The sequence below is a fragment of the Homo sapiens genome, chromosome X, assembly GCF_000001405.40.
Source record: "Homo sapiens chromosome X, GRCh38.p14 Primary Assembly".
In the NCBI taxonomy this organism is placed as follows: Eukaryota; Metazoa; Chordata; class Mammalia; order Primates; family Hominidae; genus Homo; species Homo sapiens.
Window position 1 is genome coordinate 13,253,542 of NC_000023.11, and position 21,161 is coordinate 13,274,702.

Below are 21,161 nucleotides of genomic sequence, written 5' to 3' on the forward strand. Positions count from 1 at the left end.
GAGAATCAACCTGTAGCATGGAAATGGGAAGTTCATTATTTCCAGCAAGAAAACAAAACGATGCAAACTGGGCACGATAGGGGTGGGCAGAAGTAAGCAGAAGAACAAAGAGTGGTGGTAAGAATATCAGGTGGAGTTTCCACTGCAGTAGGGAAGGGGCACTGGAAAGAAAAAGATCTAGTGTTCTAGGAGCACTGGGGATTCATGGAATAAAATGGTGATTGTGGTTTCAGATTAAACCAAACCATTTCCTATACAGCAGAGAAAGACACTCTCCTGTCTTCACTCCCCACTCCACCTCCGCCAGTTTCCTTTCCCTAAAGTGAGATTTTAGAAATACATACTTACAGGCAGTAAAACCAGGGAATTTGTAAAACTTTTAAGCTTGATTGTAGTCTAGACATAATATGTGTTATGTTTTTTTAAAATCAGGCTTGTATTAGGGTCAAATGATATGTGTAGTCCATAGATTAGGTATTCAAGGATAATACAAATGAAATATTCTAGGCAGTCATTACACTCATTAGACACTTGCCACTCAAAGTGTGCTCCATAGCTTTCTTCCTTAAATCTACACTCAACATACTTCACCAGCCAGGCTAGAGGATGCAACTCTATGATTATTTTAAGTTTACTTCATAATCTTGCGATTTCACCTGAAGCAAAGATACCAGCTTTTCTCTCAACAGCCAAATCTCCCACACTCTCATTTTCGATAGTCACAGCAGGAGTTTGAGTTTCTCTTTCTAGAAGGATCTCTGGCTGGGACTTGCTGTTCCTGTACAGCTTTTAGAACCTCATGCATGCACTTCTATTTAAAAGTTGTCTGTCTACAAATGCTTAAGAGAGCAGACAATCTGGTTTATCCTTCCCTTTTAGGTAGTTTGTGCTGGAAAGAAATTTCTATGTTTTTGTGACAAGAGGAGACAAGACCCTACAAAAAGAAGGCATGATAGAAGATAGGTTGGGAACAAGGTCAGTATTCAGCTCGTAAGCACCAGCATGTCTGACTGGATGATAAAATATTGAAGTACAGGACTTCAGTGCCGGTTAGGCAATGAACACTGCCCTGAGCCACCTGGGGGCCCCCTCTGCATGACTCAGCATGCATGGCCTAGCAGGGTTCTTCAGGACAGCTTAACTCAAGGGCCATGATATTCTATGTGTTCTCATTTTGTGTCCCACACTTGGTGAATCCTGGAGTAGTTTATGCTTAGGAGTCAAAAGACCCGGGTTTTATCTGGCTCCACTGTTTGCACACCTCATCACAAGGTCTTAGTTTCTTCACCTACAAAACATAAAGTAACTGTTAAATCAACTGTTTCTAAAGTGTCTTGTGCCATAACAATAAAAGCTACTGTAGCTTTTGAGTTTCTTGTCCAGTTATAATAATGGGCTCTCACATCTTCTATCTGCTAAGGTGCTTTCTTGTCCCTTAGGCCTATGGAGTTGCCCAGAAAATTCAGCTATAGTTTTGTAGCTAGCATAGAGGATTGGGAGGTTGAGGCTTCCTCTTCAGGGGTGGTTGTGGTTGTGGTTGTTGTAGGGATGTTTAACTCTTTGTCACACATCTCATTTTGGAAATACATTTTCAAACATGCTGCACATTTGCCCATCTTCTCAAAGAAGGTGTCAAGCATTGTTTCATCTGCTGTGTCTCAAGGCACACATCATGATCATCAAACATTGCCGTCTTTCCCTGGTGTTGGTCTCCGTTTAGGATTGCGAGACAAAATGAGTATGTCCAAAGCATACTTAGTTAAAAATTATTCACTATTTATGTGAAATTCAAACTTAACTGGGTTTCCTGCTAAATCAAGCTAGTCTAAGTCTCCGCTAGCCTCTTCCATTTCTAATGTGTTGCCTCTAATCTGTGGCAGGGTGGGGTTGAAAATGGAGCTCGAAATTATAGAGTTGCCAAGAGTATAAAGTTCTCAATTCTTTTCCATTTACACTCACTTCTCTATAGCTTCAAATATTATCTGTCTTCTTACCAAACCTATTTTCCCAACTCCTCTCCCCTGAGTTCTAGGACTCTTGGACCCAGTAACCTCCTCACCCTGATGAGCTGGCAATTGAGATCTCAAACCTGGATTCTTTTTTTTTTTTTTTGGAGTAAGTCTCACTCTGCTGCTCAGGCTGGAGTGCAGTGGTGCAATCTTGGCTCATTGGCTCACTGCAACATCTGCCTCTTGGGTTCAAGTGATTCTCCTGCCTCAGCCTCCCGAGTAGCTGGAATTACAGGTGTGTGCCACCACACCCAGCTAATTTTTGTATTTTTAGTAGAGATGGGGTTTCACCATATTGGCCAGGCTGGTCTCAAACTCCTGGCCTCAAATGATCTTCCCACCTTGGCCTCCCAAAGTGCTGGGATTACAGGTGTGAGCCACTGTGCCCCGTCCAAAGCAGGATTCTTGATTCTCCCTACCTCTCCAAGAATTCCCCCATTCCACCAGTTTCTCCTGCTATATTCTACATGTCAGTACGTAGTACTGAGCACCAACAATCTAAGAGCCATCTTGGATGCTGATCTGTTTTGTCCACATATTTTCTAGTCCATCAACTTGTTCTGGTGGCTTGTAGCTCTCTCTCCAAACATTTCTCCAATGCCTCCTTTCTTCTCCATTCCTACTGCTAAAATCCCACTCTATGCCATTATCCCCTCTTTCCTGGACTAATACCATGAATTGAGCAAGTCTCTTGGAATACCTTCTTGTCTCCTTTCTCCCTGCAAGCAGCAGCCAAGGGACCGTCTCAAAGCAGCAATCAGATCACATCACAAGCCCCCTCCCTCATCTCATTGTTTCACACATTTAAAGCCCTACAGCAGTTCCCTGTTGAAACTATCGGCTAGAAGTTGATAAGTTTGTAACAAAGGTTCTGAAATGGGAGTAATTTTGTCCCCCAGGGGACATTTGGCAATGTTTAGAGACATCTTTGGTTGTCACCACTTGGAGGTGATACTGGCATCTAGTGGGTAGGGCCCAAGGATGCTGCTAAACATTCTCCAATGCCCAGGACAGGCCCCCACAACTAAGAATGGCCAGCCCCGAATGTCACCGAGAAGCTCCAGCCTAAAGTGAGCAGTATCACAGTGTTTAAGATGAAAGAGTCAGGGACTCTGCCCCCAGCTCTAGCTGGAAAGTTCTTGTGCCAACAAGCCACTCATCTGCATTAATGAACATCTTCATTCAACTGCTCCCTTCAGCTGTTGCTAGGCAGGACCTTGATAGAGATGCAACAGAGAGAAGCTGAGCTGTGCTGAGAGGCTTGTACATTCTCACCAAGAAGCATAACTAGGGTGCTTGGAGTTGACATAACCCTGAGCAAATCATACCCTCATTAAAGAATAATCCAATTTAAAAAGAAAGTCTTGTGTACTCATGGGTTGTTTTTCCAAAGTTCTCAGAGGACAGATCATGAAAGCTTTGAACCACCAGACTGTACATGGCTGCCCAGTGAATTTGCAGAAAACAAAGGCCTCTGATTTTTTTTCCTCCAAGCTGTTAGTCTTAAGTGAAACAGGGTAAGAAAGTTCTGTTTATTATCTTTTGACAATTAAAGGATGACATAGGCAATGTGTTTTGATCTCTCACAAAAACTATGAAATTTTATTTCTTCTGGCGAAACATCTTTTCCAACAACATTCAACAAATTAACAAGAGCAACTTCAGAATGTGTGTTTTTTCCACCTAAAAATGCAAAAACAACTGTTCTTTTTGGCTTTATTAAGCTAAACAGACTTGATATAAGTCTAGCCTTTCCTGCTACTGAATAATCTCATGTAATATGAATACAGCCACCGAAGAGCTAATAATTGCTAATTATATCCCTCAACTAGATTTCCTGTTAACCATTTTTAACTTGGGTTTCCCCAGTGGGTAGGAAGCATTCTACGGTGTGGTTTACCAGAGAAGCCCTCTGAAATCCCCTTTCGTTTGATAGGGTAAAGCCAAAACCTATCTTTGCCTGACAGGTTCCTATATATACACACATATACATATACATATACATATACATATACATATACATATACATATACATATACATATACATAATGTATATGTATACATAACATTTATAAATATATGTTAATATTTATAAATATTATATATATAATTTCAACTTTTAGATTCATGGAGTACATGTGTAGGTTTGTTACATGGCGTATTACATAATAGTGAGGTTTGGGATGTGAATGATCTGATCCCTTCACCCGGGTGGTGAACATAGGACCCAACAGTTAGTTTTTCAACGCTAGCCCCTCTCCCTCCCTCTGTCATCTAGTAGTCCCCAGTGTCTATTGTTTCCATATTTAGGTGTCTGACAGGTTTCAAGAGCCCTGCAGTGACAAATAGACTAAGTAAAAGACAGGGACATGGTTTTGGCAGAAGACTGCATGAGAGACACAAAATGGATGTTCATAGGAGTCAGATATGTTGAGGGCTTAAGAATAGGATATTTTGGACTATCTTTATGCCAGTAGCTCTCAACTCTGGCTTCATATTAGAATCACTTGGAGATCTCTTTAAAAAGCACCAAAACCTGGGTTGGGCCCCAATCTCAGAGTTTCTGATTTAGTTGGCCTGGGGAATGACCAGGGCATAGGGATTTTTTAAAGTTTCCCAAGTGACTCTAATGAACATTGAGGGTTGAAAACCACTGCTCTAGACCAGGATTTCTTCACCTCAGCACTATTGATATTTTGGACTGCATCATTGTCCCGTGCGTGGTAGGATGTTTTGCAGCATCCCTGGCTTCTACCCACTAGATGCCAGTAGCACCCCTTCCCCAGTTGTGATAACTCAAAACGTCTCCAAACATTGCCAAATGTTCCCTGGGAAACAAAATCACCCCCTTCCCACATTGAGAGTCACTGTCTTGGCTACTGCATGTTAACTGTAGTTACACAGATAGTATGGTGGGTAAGTAGATGAGGGGTTGGAGATTCAACTCTATAAAATAAATACTAAGGAATAAGGAATAAAACAGTTGTTCAATGTCCCATCCTCAGCCCAGAGGCAGGATTAGTGGTTATCGTCTCTGACTGTACACTGAAACACCTTTCTTCTGGATTATAGGCACACAAACTAAACTGGCTCCTTTATTATTATTATTATTATTATTTGAGACAGGGTTTTGCTCTGTCACCCAAGCTGGAGTGCAGTGGCATGATCTTAGGTTGCTGCAACCTCTGCCTCCTAGGCTCAGGTGATCCTCCCACTGAGGCAGGAGAATAGGGTCTGGAGACAGGTTACCTAAAGCCAATTCGCCCTGACTTCCTAGAACTGAATCAAAAGGAAAACCCCACCTCTCCACACTGAAGTAACGAAAGGATCAGAGGTTACTACCTTTGCACTGTGCAGATGAAAAATGGAAAGTACCTCTAATTGGTCCCCTCCCGCAACCAATCAGACTGGTCGCAGGACTAGTCTTCATGTGTAACTTTGTAACTTCACTTCAGACTCTGATTGGTCACCTCCTGCAACCAATCAAACTGGTCGTGGGCCACTCTTTCATTTACATAGGTACAACCAAGTAACCAATGGGAAATCACTAGAAGGTATTCAAACCCCAGAAAATTCTGTAACCAGTGCTTTTCAGCTGCTTGCTCAAGCCCACTCCCATTCTGTGGAGTGTACGTTGGTTTCAATAAATCTGTGCTTTTGTTGCTTCATCCTTTCATTGCTTTGTTTGCATGTTTTGTCCAATTCTTTGTTCAAAAGACCAAGAACCTGCACAACTCATAGTCAAGTCCCTCCACTGGTACCACCACCTCAGCCTTCCGAGTAGCTAGCTCCATAGGCACCCGCCACCATGCCTGGCTAATTTTTTAAATTTTTTTTGTAGAGACAGGGTTTCACCATGTTGTCCAGGCTGGTCTTGAACTCCTGAGCTCAAGTGATCCCCTGACCTCGGCCTCCCAAAGTTCTGGGATTACAGACGTGAGCCACCACGCCTGTTGGCTCCATATTATTAATGGTCTATATTTGAGTATAGATGCTCCTTGACTTACAATGGAGTTACATCTCAGTAATCACATCATAAGTTAAAAATATCATAAGTCAAAAAGGCATTGAATACACCTAACCTACTAAACATTATAGCTTAGCCTAGCCTACCTGGAATGTGCTCAGAACACTTACATTAGCCTAAAGTTGGGCAAAGTCATCTAACACGAAGCCTATTTTGTAATAAAGTGCTGAATATCTCATGTAATTTATTGAATACTGTACTTAAAGTGAAAAACAAAATGCTTGTATGGATACTCAAAGTATGGTTTCTACTAAATGCGTATTGCTTTCACAGCATTATAAAGTCAAAAAATGGTAAGATGAGCCATCATAAGTTGGCACCCATCTGTACACAATCCATGGTCAAAATCATTTATATAGTGTTAAAAATTTATCTCTGAAAGGAAAAGAAATGATTCCCTCTTTAATATAGTCTTTTTTTCCCTGTAGGAAGCCTTCTCTCCTCTTCCATTCAATACTCCTCCAGAGATAACTTTCTAGCTCTGGGCTGCCCAATATGGTGGTCACTAGCCACGTGTGGCTTGCTAAAAGTAAACTTAAATTAATTCAAATTAAATAGAAGTAAAAATTCAGTTCCTTAATCACAATAGTTATATTTCAGTGGCTCAACAGTCACTGCAACATTTGAGCTAGTGGCTAGTGGCTGTAACATTTTAATGCGGAAATAGAACATTTTCATCACTGCAGAAAACTGGACAGCAGTTTATAACCATAGAGCTTATGGTGACATTGGCATGCTTAAAAACCTCTGTTAGTTCCCATTGCCTCTAGGATCAAGTTCAGTCATCTAGCTTGGCATTTAATATATTTTACTATCTAACTTCAGATGTCTCTTCCAAACCCCTCTTTGCTCCTTAGACTCCTTTGAGCAGCCCATTCCTTTACAGGAAAGATCAACGCACTTCCCTACCTCCCAGCCTTTGTCCATGTTATTTTATCTATCATGGATACCCTTTCTCTAATTCCACTTGGCAAATTCATGCTTGATCTTCAGAGTCAATTCAAATGTCCCTCCAACCTCCCTTCCCACCTTAGTTCTCCGGATACCAAATAATTGCTCCATTCACTGTCACCCCACGGGACTTGCATACCTGTTAATTGCATACATGTCACATTTTGTCATGGTTGTGTCTCTGTCTCCCATGCTTAATTCGGTGCTCCTGAAGGTGAAGGAGTGGCTTTATTTCTCTTTGTATGACCAAAGGCCAGCACAATGTAGGCAATCACATTTCAAAGAAATAATCAACTGGCTAACGAATAAAATGGCATGATTCATCACATTTAACACCACAGAATTCTAACAGCCCACACCTGCATGCAGTTGATAGAATTCTGGGATTGTTCTTGATGTTCTCTGGGATAAGAACAACTGCCTTTAATTTTATTAGCAGGATGAGCATATTTGGTGACTTAGAGGTCTCTATACTGAGATAGACGATAAATTTATTTAAAGGTTGTATCTGCTGGGTTGATAGTCACAAAGAGTAAGAAAGAAAATGCAAAGGAAATTTATTGTTCTTATATGTAGACTTCATCTCTGATATCAGTTAAACAGAAATATCTCAAAAGAATGAACATTAAGCTACAGAAAATCATTAAAAAGATCAGATTAATATTATAGCAACACAGTGTTTCTTCCCTAACACGCTCTTGGTTCTCTCTAAAAGGTCATTTGTCTGTACTACCAAACTCAGAGCTGTATCTTACACTTCCTTTCTCTTTTCCTCAGCACCTAACAGTGTCCAGTTCATAGCTGGTCCTCAGTTAATACTTGTTGAATAATTAAGATTAAAAAAAAAAAAGAAAACAGGTGGTTATAATGGAGGGGGTGGTGTGAACACCAAATTAAACAAGATTGAGTGAAATTACTTTTCAAGACTACATCAACTTTCTATTACTGCCGTGGCAAATTACAACTAACTTAGTAGCTTAAAACAATACACATTTATTATCTCATGGTTTTATAGGTTAAAAGTCCAACGCAAATCTCACTGCGTTAAAATCAAGGTGCCAGCTGCACAGCATGCCTTCTGGAAGATTTAGGGGAGATTTTCTTGCCTTGCCTTTTTCACCTTCTGCAGGCTACCAGAATTCCCTGCAAAAGGTGAAAAAGGCAATTTCAGTGGCGGGCCAAGTCCTTCTGGTGCTGCCGTCAGATCTCCCTCTGACCACAGCCCAAAAAGTTTATCCGATTTTAAGGACCTATATGATTAGATAGAGTCCACTAAGCCAACCCAGGATAATCTTCCCATCTCAAGACCTATACCTTTAATCCCATCTGCAAACTCCCCTTTGCCATGTAACACATTCACAAGTTCTAGGGGCTAGAGTGTAGAAATCTTTAGGGGACCATTATTCTGCCTGCTACAGGGGAGTCACATAGAATGACTAGAATTACAAAGAAAAAAACAAGCAACTGCTACATGTCCCTGGTCTTCTCATAAGCAGCATGAAATATAAATGCTTAAGCTTTAGATTTGAATAGTTTCCTAGAGCTATTTTTAAAATGGCTTTTTTTCCTTAGTATACTGATAATAAATGCGAACTGTCAATAGTTTGGAAACACAAAAGACTTTGAAGAAAAAAAAACCACCCTAAATCCCACCAAGCAGTCCTAACCAGTTACTATTTATATGTCTATTCTTCTGATATTATGTAAATGCATATCAAATTTATATATGCATTAAAAATATTAATTTATTCTAAATGATTCCTTTAAGTAGCCTATTTCCCCTCTAAATATTATCCTAAATATGTTCTCATGGCATTAAAGATTTTTCAAAAAAGATTATTTCTCCTCACTCTACCACATTGGCACCATATTATTGCCTCTGAATTTATGTGTTTATTATCCCATTGTTGAACATAAAAGGGTTATTTTTAGGCCTTTGCATTTATAAATAGTAGGTTTAGAAAAAGATGTATTCAAAAATCTGTATATACAGCTCTGATTATTTTCTTAAGGGTGTAAATGAGGAATTATCGCATCAGAGACCATTTTAAGACCACTGGTACTCGTCACCTCATTTCCCTCCATAATGACTACACCAGATTTACCCCCACGAGCAGTGTACAAAAGTGCCCTTTGCAATGAACTCTGAGCAGTGTTTACCAGTGCTATGGACTAAATTATGGCTCTTTCCCCAAAATTCATATGTTTAAGCCCTAGCCACCAATGTGATTAGATTTGAAGGTAAGGCTTTTAGGAGGTAATTAAGGTTAAATGAGGTCATAAGGGTGGGGTCCTAATCCAATAGAATTGGTGGCCTTATAGGAAGAGGAAGAGAGAGAGAGATCTCCTTCACATACATACGACATGCACATGCACTGAGGAAAGGCCACATGAGGACATAGTGAGAAGTTGGCTATTTCCAAGCCAGCAAGAGGGCCCTCACCAGAAACAGAATTGGCTGTCACCTTGAACCTGGATTTTCCAGCCTCAGGAACTGCAAAAAAATGAATTTCTGTCATTTAAGCTACCTAGTCTATGGTAGCTTTTTATGGCAGCCTGAGCTAATGAGCTAATGCAATGATGGGTGAAAAATGATGTCCTTGTTCTATTAATTGGTGATGATTTGATTTCTAGAAGAATGGTCATTTTGTTTACAGACCACTTTTCATGTCTCTGGGAAAATTCAGAGTCTATTGTTGGACTCTAAAACAGAATGTTACAAAAATCATAAGGCATAGAGGACTGAAATTCAATAGCACTTCCACAGAGCTAGAATTGTGTTCTTTAGAATAATGCATTTTTAAATGTCTGCATCAATCAGAACAAATGCTTTAATCTACTTACATAAGCCCTTTTTGATTTTAGTCCCCATTTGTCTATTTTTAAAGGCTTAAAGATCTAGCTACAAGAGTACCAAGAAAACTCTTTTGCCTTTGTAGATGAAGTTCACAACATGTGTGCTAAAGTATTTGATTCCTTCAAGCACCATGTGAGTTAGGTGGTGTTGAGGTTGATTGGACAGTATGGATGGTGGAAGGAATTGATTGACTTGAAGGACATGAAGATGCAAGGCTAGTGCAAGAAACCATGTGTGAAGCCAGTGCATTTGGAGGCACATGTAAAGGTCACCAACGCCTTCTCGAACAATTTATAAAATAAGAATGGGTGGGAGGAAACTGAAGACAATTTTACATCCTTGTGACTAGAAAGGAGATGTGAGCTAAGAAGAGAGTTCAAGCATGACCAAATGAAGCAGAGGCTAGCAGCCCAGGCAACAATACTCCTTCCTTGGTAGGTAATGACATTATAATGAGTAACTGCAGACAAACAAAGTCAGCAGTTCTTAGACACAGAGCAGCACCTAATGCAGCAAGTAGTACCTAGGGGAAGGTCTGGGGAGGAGTTTTAAAGGGGTTTCTAAGATAGGAAAGCGTGAAGTCTTATTATTGTACAGAAAGATTGTATCTACTCAGAGGGATGAGAGTAATCACAAATACACAGTGGTTATTACACCCATTATATAGAAAATGAAACTGAGGCTCAGAAACCTCATATAGTTCCCCTAGAGATACACAATTGTTAGTGCTGAAATGTGAACTCAAACCTTCAGACGTGAAGCTGGAAATGAATTTCCTTGGCTTCGATGTCTCCATCTCAAAAATGACTGTATTTTTGGGAAGGTTGCTTCAGAGTCCACGTTCTATTGGCCATTCCACTGATTCCGCATCTCCTTGACAAATGAATCTTGGGCCAAAAGTTCATTGTGGGGACGCTGTTCGTGAGTATATTAATTTGACCAGATGTATTCTCATTGGAAATCATATTTAAAATGGCTTACTGGGTTTGGAGGATGCAGAAGTTAAAGAAATAAAATTGAAATATCCCCTTTCTCTGTTGCCTAGAACTTTACCCATTTCCCTTGTCTCCTCACCAGCACCCTGGTGGCTTCCTCCTACCTCACAATTCCTTTTCATGCTCCTTTGGTGGGTCTTTTGCCTCTGCCTGCACCTCTAAATGTTGAGCGCCTCAGGGGTCTATCCTGGGTCTCGTATCTTTTGTCCACACTCTAACTGGGCAAACTCATCATGTCCAATATCTTTAAAATATTCACGCCCAGGATTCTAGATTCCTGTATCCAACAGCCAACTAGATATCACTATGTGGAAGCTTAATAAGCATCTCGAACTCAACATGACCCAAGAGTATTCTCTCTTTTGCCAATCAGGTTTTTTCCAGTCTCATGTATCTCATATAGCTCCCCTAGAAATACACATATCTCAGTAAATGGTTTTACCACCCACTTAGTGCTCAAGTAATTGTTCTTGATTACTGTCTTATAGCTTCCCTCACCTTCCACACCCAATACTTCTGGAACAGCAAGTCCCGTGAATTCTATTTTCAAAGCACCTCTCAAACCTTTCAATTTTTCCCCATCTCCACTGGTATCACCACCCTTTGTCAACTGGGGCTTGTACAAAAGCCTCCTAACTAGTTTTCTCTGCTTCCACATGAATTGTTTTGTAAAAATATAAATCACATTAGTTCTGGGCTCAAATCTCTCTAATAACTTTTCATTGCACTTAGATTAAAAATCCATCCTTCTTAATCTAGTTTATAATGTCCTTCATGAGCTAACTTCTGCTGACCTCTGAGACCTCATCTGTCCATTCACCCATTGGCCCACTATCCTCAGCTACACTGGACATTTTTCTATCCTGACGCTTACCTAGCTTATTCTTAACTAAGGACCTTGACTCTAACTTAACTCTGTGCCTGGAATGTCCCTCCTCCTCCACATTCTTGTGGATAGCTCCTTCTTGTCATTTACATATCAGCTCAAATGTCATCTTTCCAAAGAGGCTTTCCCTGACCATCCCATCTAAGTAAGGCCTATTTTTCTTATGTATTGATTTGTGTGTTTCTTCATTAGAGTAGTTCCATGAGAGCAGGAAGCAGATCTATCTTACTGAGGACACTCCTGGTGCCAAACTATCTGGGGAAGAGGAAACCAAGAATCCAGTGCAGTCTTAGAAGATGGGGGAGTTGCTAATGGAAGGAACCAGGTCTCTGAAAGACTTCATAGAACACAGTACCACACTTTGTGACATCCCCTGACAACCTCATTAGACTGTGACATAGGCAAGAAATAAATCTTGGTTGTGTTTGCCCCTGAAATTCCAGGGCTGTTTGTTACAATGGTTAACCTCTTCTGACAAATTTCATAAAATTCCATTTACCCTCGCTTTTCCTCACTACATATTATTCAGTTTAAGATTCGGTTCACTGTCCTCCAGGAAGCCTTCCTTGACTTCCCTGTGGCTGGCTTTTGTGTTCCCATGGCACCATGTGCACTGTTTCATCAGGTACTAACCACGTTGTATTATATACTGTCTCCCTCATGTGACTAAGTTTTTCCTGAGGTCAGAAACTATCTATTTTTCTTTTTTGTGTCTTTATGGCCTATTACAATGTCTGGCGCCACAATAAATCTTTGTTAGATAAATAAACCATAGACAGCAGGCAGTTCAGGTTTTAATGGAGGGCAACAGTATTTCTTTGCAATGGTTAACAATACTAGTAGAAACAGAATATGAAATGAAAAGTGGGGAAAGGCTTCATGAGTATGAATTTATTTGAATGAAGAAAAATTTCAATGTTACTTAGGCTGAATAAAGACAATGATCATTAAGTAATTCTAGAAAATAGAGATTATTCTAGATAAATGATCCTTATAAGATTCCTTTGATTCCTGTTAATTGCAATCCAATACATAAATATTGAAGGCTTATTATGAGCAAATTACTCTTTTTCGTATGACAAAGATGAAAATACTTCTGCCGGTTAACATTTTATAATTCTATGACCTTATGATTCTGAACACCTACGTAAGATATTTTTAAACCTTGACAGTTACATTGGGAGATTTACATCAAGAACCAGCACTATGGAGTCAGAATTTGCATGGAGTTCTATCTTCAAAGTTTTACTACAAACCGGTGCCACTGGGTCATTTTTAGATTCAGACCATTGGTTAGTGGCTTCTCCCCACAGTGAACCGGACAGTCATGTGCCACTTGGCAGTTTTCAAGGTATGAGTTTATTCTGTTTGATGTTCTGTCAATTTCTCCAGGGGACAAGCAGCCAGATGGTTAATTGCCCTTCCTTAAGCACAGACGCACTCACAGAAAAGGTGTGAGGAAGGACCCCTCCGAAAGAGGAGCCTCTCACAGAGCAGGCTGAGCCGCTGTACAGAGTTGAGATTGTTGACCCACTGATTGTGCCTGAAAGGCTTTTCAGCCACACAAAACCCTGGGCTTCCTCATTAGCATATCAGAGGTGGCGCAGTGGTGGGAAATACTGCAGGCAACAAAGAATGTGGTTCAGTGGCATTGTCTCATTGGTGCTTACAGAAGCAGAAAAAATGATAATCAGGCCGGAGTTGCAGTGATGGACAGATGTTGACATATTTTCTTGGGCAACCAATGTCTTCCACTCCCCCTCCATCAGTTGACCCATTCTCAAGACTCCCCGCCCCTCCAAGGCACAGTTCCTCAACCAATACACAAGGAAAAGCCACGACACAATCAAAACCTCTCTTGAGCTGAAACGAAGACACAGTTTCAGCTTTAACTTGAACCATGCCTGGAAGGGATTTGTCATTTTTCTCAGACTTGAAAGTCTTATTTGGAACATAACTTGATGATAAATAGGAGAGTCAGCTGCCAGTTACTAATACCATCATAGAGACTGAGTCACTGTTGATGTCACCGCGCCTCTTTGCAGGATCAGCCATCTTATTATTTTATACTGAAAGGGAAAAAAGAGGTTTAGTGAAAAAGTCACTTTACATTCTTATTGTCCTAAATTTTTCCCATCTCTGAAGTTTGAGACCAGTGTTCTATGCTCTATAGCAATGGCTCTCAACTGGAGGTGATTTTGCCCCCCAGGAATCGTGGCAATGTTTGGAGTCATTTTTTGTGGTCACAATTGGGTGAGGGGGTGCCACTGGCATTTAGTGGATCAAGTCCAGGGATGCTGCTGAAGATGCTACGATGCACAGGACAGCACCTACGATAAAGACTTATTTGGCTCAAAATGTCAACAGTGTCAAGGCTGAGGAACTCTAGTCTGTGGCCTTCTTTGTGAAGCTAGTTTACAAATTCTTACTGAGTCAAATTGCTATTGATAAATGGGCACCTCGAGGGACTTATAGCCCCATGATCACTATATTGATTTAGAATATTGAACAGTTCTTGACAAAGAACAGGGCCGAAATTAAAATTTCTCATCCTTGGCTGCAATATTGAAAGATTTTATCTAAGCAGTGGGTGTAAAGTTTGAGAAAATTGTATATTGAGCACTGAGGGGTAAAAATTTTCCTACATGCAGTAATTTGACTTTCTTACAGCCAACAATATGTCTTTTACTTCACGCTCAGCTAAGTCTTAAATATGCTCCAAATGGCATAAAATTTGATTGAAGAATTCTTCCTCCTCACTTGGAAATATTTATAACCTCTTGGAAAATGACACACTGGGACACACTATATGTTGTTCAATTATATATATTATATATAACATTATATATTATATATAAAATCAAATTTACATTTAAAATCACATGTTGTATTAGCTTTGTGTTTAATATCATGTTCGCCTGGCTTAAATTTTTTTCAGCTCAATATTTACAAATCAAAATATTTGTAATTGTATGTATACATATATATATGCCTAGATAGATAGATACGTCTAGAGAAACATATGGTTTTCCTTAGGTGCAAGTTATTCTACCCAAGTAACTACATGTTGACCAAACCACTCCAGATCCAAAGCACTAAAGATTATTGGTCACTGGTTGTTATATCCATTAGTATACAATTTTGATAACTATCTTTTCCACAGGTTAAAGTAGATTTTGTATGCCAGTAAAAAAAATTGCAGGTGATTATAATGGACTTTATAAAGAAGAATATAAAATGGAGACCAAATTAATTGTCTCAGTTTACCTTCAACTATCTTAAGTTATGGTCTACATGATATACAGTTTTGTTCTTAAAAGTTTTTGATCAAAATTACCCTATTGTATCGGAATTCATCAAGCCTAAAGCACTTTCAAATTCACTTCACTCTCTGATGAAGACACTTTACCATTTGTAAAAATATTTTTGCTTCCTGTAAAACACAGTGTTATGTAGTCTAACACAGTGGTTCCTATTAGAATCAATTGGGCCCTAAAGGCATACTCATTTCTTAGGCCCTGCTCAGACTGGTTGAATGAGAATATAAGAGGATAAGGCCCAGGTATTGATATTAAAACAAAACAACAACAACCACACACACACACACACACACACACACGCCAGGCAATTCAAACATACTGCCATGGTGGGAAGGCTGGCTGAAAACTCAGATCTAAAGCACAGACCATCATAGGCAACAGAATTGGCAGGTAAAATGGGAAAATATTGCCCCATAGAGATAGTAGGGACATTTCCCTGTGTTGGCCTTGAGGGGAGGTGGAAGGCAGGAATAGCCCAGGAGAATAAGTTTGGTATGTAACAATTTAGCAATGATTCACTTTTTAAATTGCCATCCTGTATGATAAAGTCCTCCTGGGGAACTATAATGCAAGAATGCTGGGATCCAGGTGGGGTTCTTAGTTCTGGCTCTTTCCCCACCAGCTGTGGGTGAGCTCTGTGGGTGAGCTCTTCCTTTACTCTTCCCAGCCTCAGTTTATTCACCTGTAAAATGAGGGGGCTTGGTTATGATTTCTACTGTTTCTGTTCAACTTAGAAAAATGAGTCATAATTATGAACTTAGAAAAATATTAAACTGTTTAACATTGTATATTTTTCATAAATTTATAAAGCACTGTATGGCAAAATGAAAAAGAATTTATAAAGTTTTTTTGGCAATTTGTAATTCAGACATAAATTTGATCATATCAGGAAAATGGGCCTAGTGTTTTGGCTGTTTTCTATAGCTAAATATATCTTATACTGGAGATCAGCAAATTTTTCTGTAAAGAGGCAGATAGCAATTATTTTAGGCTTTGAAGGTAAGCCACAGAAAAGAAAATTGCAAAATCTTTAAAAAAATATCATTTAAAAATGTGAAAAATAGGGCCAGGCACAGTGGCTCATGCCTGTAATCCCAACACTTTGGAAGGCTGAGACAGGACGATTGCTTGAAGCCAGGAGTTTGAGACCAGCCTGGGCAACACAGCAAGACCCTGTCTGTACAAAAGTAAAAAATAAAAACAATTTGCCAGTGCGTTGGCACACACCTGTAGTCCCAGCAATTCTGGAGGCTGAGGCGGGAGGAAAGCCTGAGCCCAGGGGTTTGAGGCTGCAGTGAGCTATGATTATGCCATTGCACTCCAGCCTGGGTGACAGAGCAAGACCCTGGCCCCTGTCTGTGAAAACCAGGTAAGGGCAGGGTTTGATGATCCCTGTGTTAAACAATTAAAACATATATTTGGATAAAAAGAAAATTACGTGCTTTTATATAACAACTGTTAAAAGATATTGCTATACAGAGAGACTGAACCCAGGCAATAAGGAGACCTGCTGAAGAAGTTTTTACTCAAAGCCTGCATGGAAGCCACCATCATGTGCCCCTATAACAAACTCATCCTAGTTTGCCAGCGACTTGCCCAGTTTAAGCACTGAAAGTCTCAAGTCCCAGGAAATGAGGATGACTGGTTATTTTACATCTGTGACTCTTGGAAAGGTTTCTTTTTGGAAAATCTAGGATCAAATTGAAAGGGAAGAAGCTTGAGATGGAAATGCTTTCAGGAGCTTTACCATATAAACAACAGGCAAAGATCCCAGCTGGAAAACTGCAAAGGGAAAATTGTAAGAGAATATTTTGCAGTATTTTTTTGGCTTGAGCTCAATGGATTCTAAATCTACCTTCCCATTAACAGCATCAGTTCAACAGGCTGTACATGAGGAAAGTGCTTATTCACAAGGTGTGTCAGGTCTTTTTTGTAGAACCAGTTTATACATCCTCTGGATATGATAAATGCTAGGCATTATGATGAAACACAATCCAACCTTACTACTCAGAAGTTACAGGATTTAGAATTATTTCCTGGGTTTGTCCGAAGAGGACATGTGACATGAAACTAGCTGTGAGCCTAACTATGAATAAAAAGATTACTGGTAGAGACTACTTCTGAAACAGTCCAGAATAAAGTGGGAGCAATTTTCTCAACATATTATTATGTGCATCTGTGATATTATTATCATAATTTGAATCTTTAAGACTAGAAGCTCAAAGCTCAAAAGGCGATTTTCTCTGAGGAACTTGTCTTGAAATTAAGTACACGACCTCCAGAGAAGTTTTGTTATAACCACATGGTTTTCCAGTTGTACTTCATCCAAACAGGAACCCTTCTTAAAACATAAATATTAAAAAGCAGATCCAATAGTTCAAAAGAGGATGCCATTGGCTAAAACAAAACCAAGAATATAATTTAGAACCTTTTACAATATTCTTTCATTTTTTTCATTTTATCCAAATTTTAATCCCGTGTTTGAAGCTTCGAATGTTTCCTTTATGATTCATCCTATTTGGGGTCATAAAAGCACCTTTAGGCCGGGTATGGTGGTTCTCTTCTGTAATCCCAGCACTTTCAGAGGCCGAGGCGAGTGGATCACTTGAGGTCAGGAGTTCAAGACCAGCCTGGCCAACATGGCGAAACCCCGTTTCTACTAAAAATACAAAAATTAGCGAGCATGGTGGTGGGTATCTGTAATTCCAGCTACTTGGGAGGCTGAGGCACGAGAATCACTTGAACCACTAAGGCAGAGGTTGCAGTAAGCTGAGATCATGCCACTGCACTCTAGCCTGGGCAACAGAGCAAGACTCTGTCTTTTTCTTAGTAGAGACAGGGTTTTACTATATACTATATATAGTGAGCTGAGATCATGCCACTGCACTCCAGCCTGGGTGACAGAGTGAGACTCTGTCTCAAAACAATAATAATACAATAATAATAATAAATAAAATGTTATGAAAAATGAATAAGAGTTTCCTGATTTCACTAAGTGAAACAGGAAGTTGATGTCCATATGTCTTTTGGATTTGAGTGAATGGGGGTAGATAAGTAGGAACTAATGCAACCTTTAACACAGATATTACATGCATATTTATTAATATATTTATATGGCAATACACACTGACACATTCCAGGAAAAAGGAGGTGAAGCAATAGTTTCTATTTCCTTAAAATTCCTCCATGACCATGCTTAGTTTTTTCCGTTCCTTACAAACACTTAAACCATTCTGAACTTCCGTGGTGTGAGGTCCTAATCCTACTTCCCATTCCCTTTATAGCAAAAGAAAATGTTTGTTTCCGTCTAGGAAAAGGCACTTCTCACTTTTTTTTTGTAGAACTAAAACATCAAACTGCTACCTAAATTATTATTATTATTACCTGCATTATTTTTCGACCCTTAAAGGTACCAGCACCAGCTGATTGAGTGAGAGCTACTTCCTCAGAGGCCTGGGCCCCAGCCCTTCGAGGGTTCGCCTCATAGATTTTAGGTTCTGTTAACCCCAAGTTCTTCCATTTTTTTTTTCCCCGCAGGCCTGGGAGTGGCTGTTGTCTTCAGTAGTAGCAGCTACCTCTGTTACCTCCGTGTTCCCACCTTCTCTTTTCAGTCCTCTAATGCCTATTTAACTGAGTCTCTATATTCAATATTAAGATTAAAATAACAGGTGTGTTTCTCCTTTTCTCAATTGCATTTTGATTGAGACTCAGCTCTACTGTAGGCCTCTAAGGCTCTGATTTCTCAAACATGCCACATGGTGATGGAAGGGAGCCTGGTAACATTCCTTTCCATTTGTCCAGGCTTTACTGTCTCCTTGTTGAGATCTATGTACTTATATAAAGTGGCCCCCAAAGAGGAATCCTCCTTCTAGGACCCCGCCTCCCCACTCCTTACACACATTTCTATTGCAACTCTGTGACACCTTCATGGATTGACCACACACCAAGGGTTCTGCCCAAGGGTTCTCTTTGATATTTGCTCAGAAAATCCTATCTCCCTATCCCAAATAGCCTGGGCTCCAGGGCATTCTTATCACTCATTCCATCCTTCACAAGATAACTGACATTTTACTCAAGGTGGCTGTTTAGGAGAGAGTTAGCTCCTGCCCAGAAGGACATGCCTTAGCTGATCCAAGGACTCTAGACAAGCCCTAAGACTCCTCATTTTGGCCCCGCAAGGCACTTTTTCTTAGATACGCTTACATTCTTAAAGCTAAAATGGACCTTTGAAATTATTTATCATCTATTCTAACCTTTCCTTCTAGGGAGGATCTATAAATTACATATTTTAAAAAATTACAATCATAGATGAATAAAACAAAAAGAAATGGTTACATAGATAATTCAGAGAAGACGAATTTTTCCTATGTCTGATGCTGTAAGGCAGCCAAGAAATCCAAAAGAAGTATTTTACATATGTGTGTATTTTTTTAAATAAAAATATATTTTTTAAAATTTTTATCTTTAACCTGGCTCTACACATTGAGAGTTACCATCTCAATAAATGTCAGGTTCGGGAACTTGTAAATTCTATAGAGAACTAAAGTAATTTTCCTGTAATTATTCAGCAGCTGTCATTCCTGGAAACTGTAATTGCAGTGAAATAGAATGTTCCCAAATCATGATGAGGGGAGGCAATGTTCTGTGATCTGGGGCATGCAATGCCAATGAGGAATACAGCATATAATCTGTGTATCTAGAATATAAAATGGAAATACTGCTAGGGCATATGAGGCCACCATTTGTTCGATTATTCAAAATCTCTTATAATGTTTTGGTCTCTCAAGCATCCATGGCCACATTCTGATAAGATTCTATTTAATCCTCTGCATGTTCAAGCCTGATATCTGCTTATGGTATTCTCATCTCTATAAAAACAACCACAAAGGATGGTTAACAGATAGAAAAGTACCGCCAGATAGGAGGAATAAGTTCTAGTCTTCTGTAGCACTATTGGGGGTGGTTATGATGAACAACAATTTATTGTATATTTTCAGCTAGATAGAAAAGCGGATTTTGAATGTTCTCACACAAATAAATGATGAGTATTTGAGATGATAGATATGCTAATTACCCTGGTTTGATCATTATACATTGTATACATGTATCAAAATATCACATTGTACTATATGTACAATTATACGTCAATTTAAAATAATAATAAAAGTAAAAACCCCCCTTATGTACATTGAAAAAGCACTTTTAACGATGAATTCTGAGTTTCTTTTCCCGACAAATGTAAAACAACAGAGTTGAAAAACAGGGTTGATTCTCTATAGTTATGTTTAAATATCCTCATTCCATTTAGCGCTGTGGTTACCTACTAGTTATCTATTGACATATAACAAACTACCTGAAATCTTAGCAGCTTAAATCAGTCAACATTTTTTATTTCACAGTTTCTGTGGGTTAGGAATTCAAGAGTACCTTAGATGGGTAGTTCCAGCTCAGGAGCATTCATGAGGCTCCTGTGGAACTAGGCTGTGGACCAGGGCTGCAGTCATCTGCCTATTTTCAAGTATTTCATTCTTTTAGTCGCTATTGTTAACTGAGTTTTTCAATTATTTTTTTCAGTTTGTTCATTATTAGTGTAAAGAAATATATTAATTTTTGTGCTGATTTCATATCCTGCAACTGATGAATTAGTTTAGTAGTTTCTAACAGGTTTGAATGTGTAATCTTTAAGGTTTTCTCTATATATAACCATGTCATCTGCAAACAGAGATCATCTTTCTTGTCAGTCGAAATCCATCATGAAAATAGCACTGCAGAGGGCTGATATACCCCTGTACTGGTGGGAGTCAGCTGGGTGTGTGCCCTTGGACTTAATTCTTCATATTTCTGGGTCTGTTTCCTCACTTGCCAAGTGAAAGAAGGATGAGGAAAGAATGACACTGGTCTTAACTGGCCTTTTACAGTCATTATCTTAACTATAGTCATTATCTCATATAATGTTCAAAGCAGAAGCAAAATTCTAAGCAGTAAGAACAGAGAGACTAAGCAATCAGGAGGACCACCTACCTGCAGCACCCAATTGTAAGGCAAGGAACCAAATCCCATTCAGCCTTACCATAAAACCAACTGAGTCAGGTACTTCCTAAGTCCACTTGCAGCTG

At 39.5% G+C, this 21,161-nt stretch overlaps 1 long non-coding RNA gene across 1 annotated transcript in view, besides 3 other annotated features; it reads right to left on the reverse strand.

Moving 5' to 3' along the window:
- Window positions 772-891: an enhancer, noted in NCBI's record as "active region_29435". NCBI's record gives its function as "activates an Ori minimal core promoter by ATAC-STARR-seq in GM12878 lymphoblastoid cells {active_cell/tissue: GM12878}" and the evidence as "EXISTENCE:reporter gene assay evidence [ECO:0000049][PMID:35858748]".
- Window positions 3,822-3,871: an enhancer, noted in NCBI's record as "active region_29436". NCBI's record gives its function as "activates an Ori minimal core promoter by ATAC-STARR-seq in GM12878 lymphoblastoid cells {active_cell/tissue: GM12878}" and the evidence as "EXISTENCE:reporter gene assay evidence [ECO:0000049][PMID:35858748]".
- Window positions 10,284-10,533: an enhancer, noted in NCBI's record as "active region_29437". NCBI's record gives its function as "activates an Ori minimal core promoter by ATAC-STARR-seq in GM12878 lymphoblastoid cells {active_cell/tissue: GM12878}" and the evidence as "EXISTENCE:reporter gene assay evidence [ECO:0000049][PMID:35858748]".
- Window positions 12,507-21,161, reverse strand: part of LINC02154 (long intergenic non-protein coding RNA 2154) — a 37,405-nt gene continuing 28,750 nt past the window's right edge. Inside the window, exon 2 of the long non-coding RNA NR_146309.1 lies at window positions 12,507-13,794. This is a non-coding gene — a long non-coding RNA (long intergenic non-protein coding RNA 2154). The remainder of the gene's footprint in view (window positions 13,795-21,161) is intronic.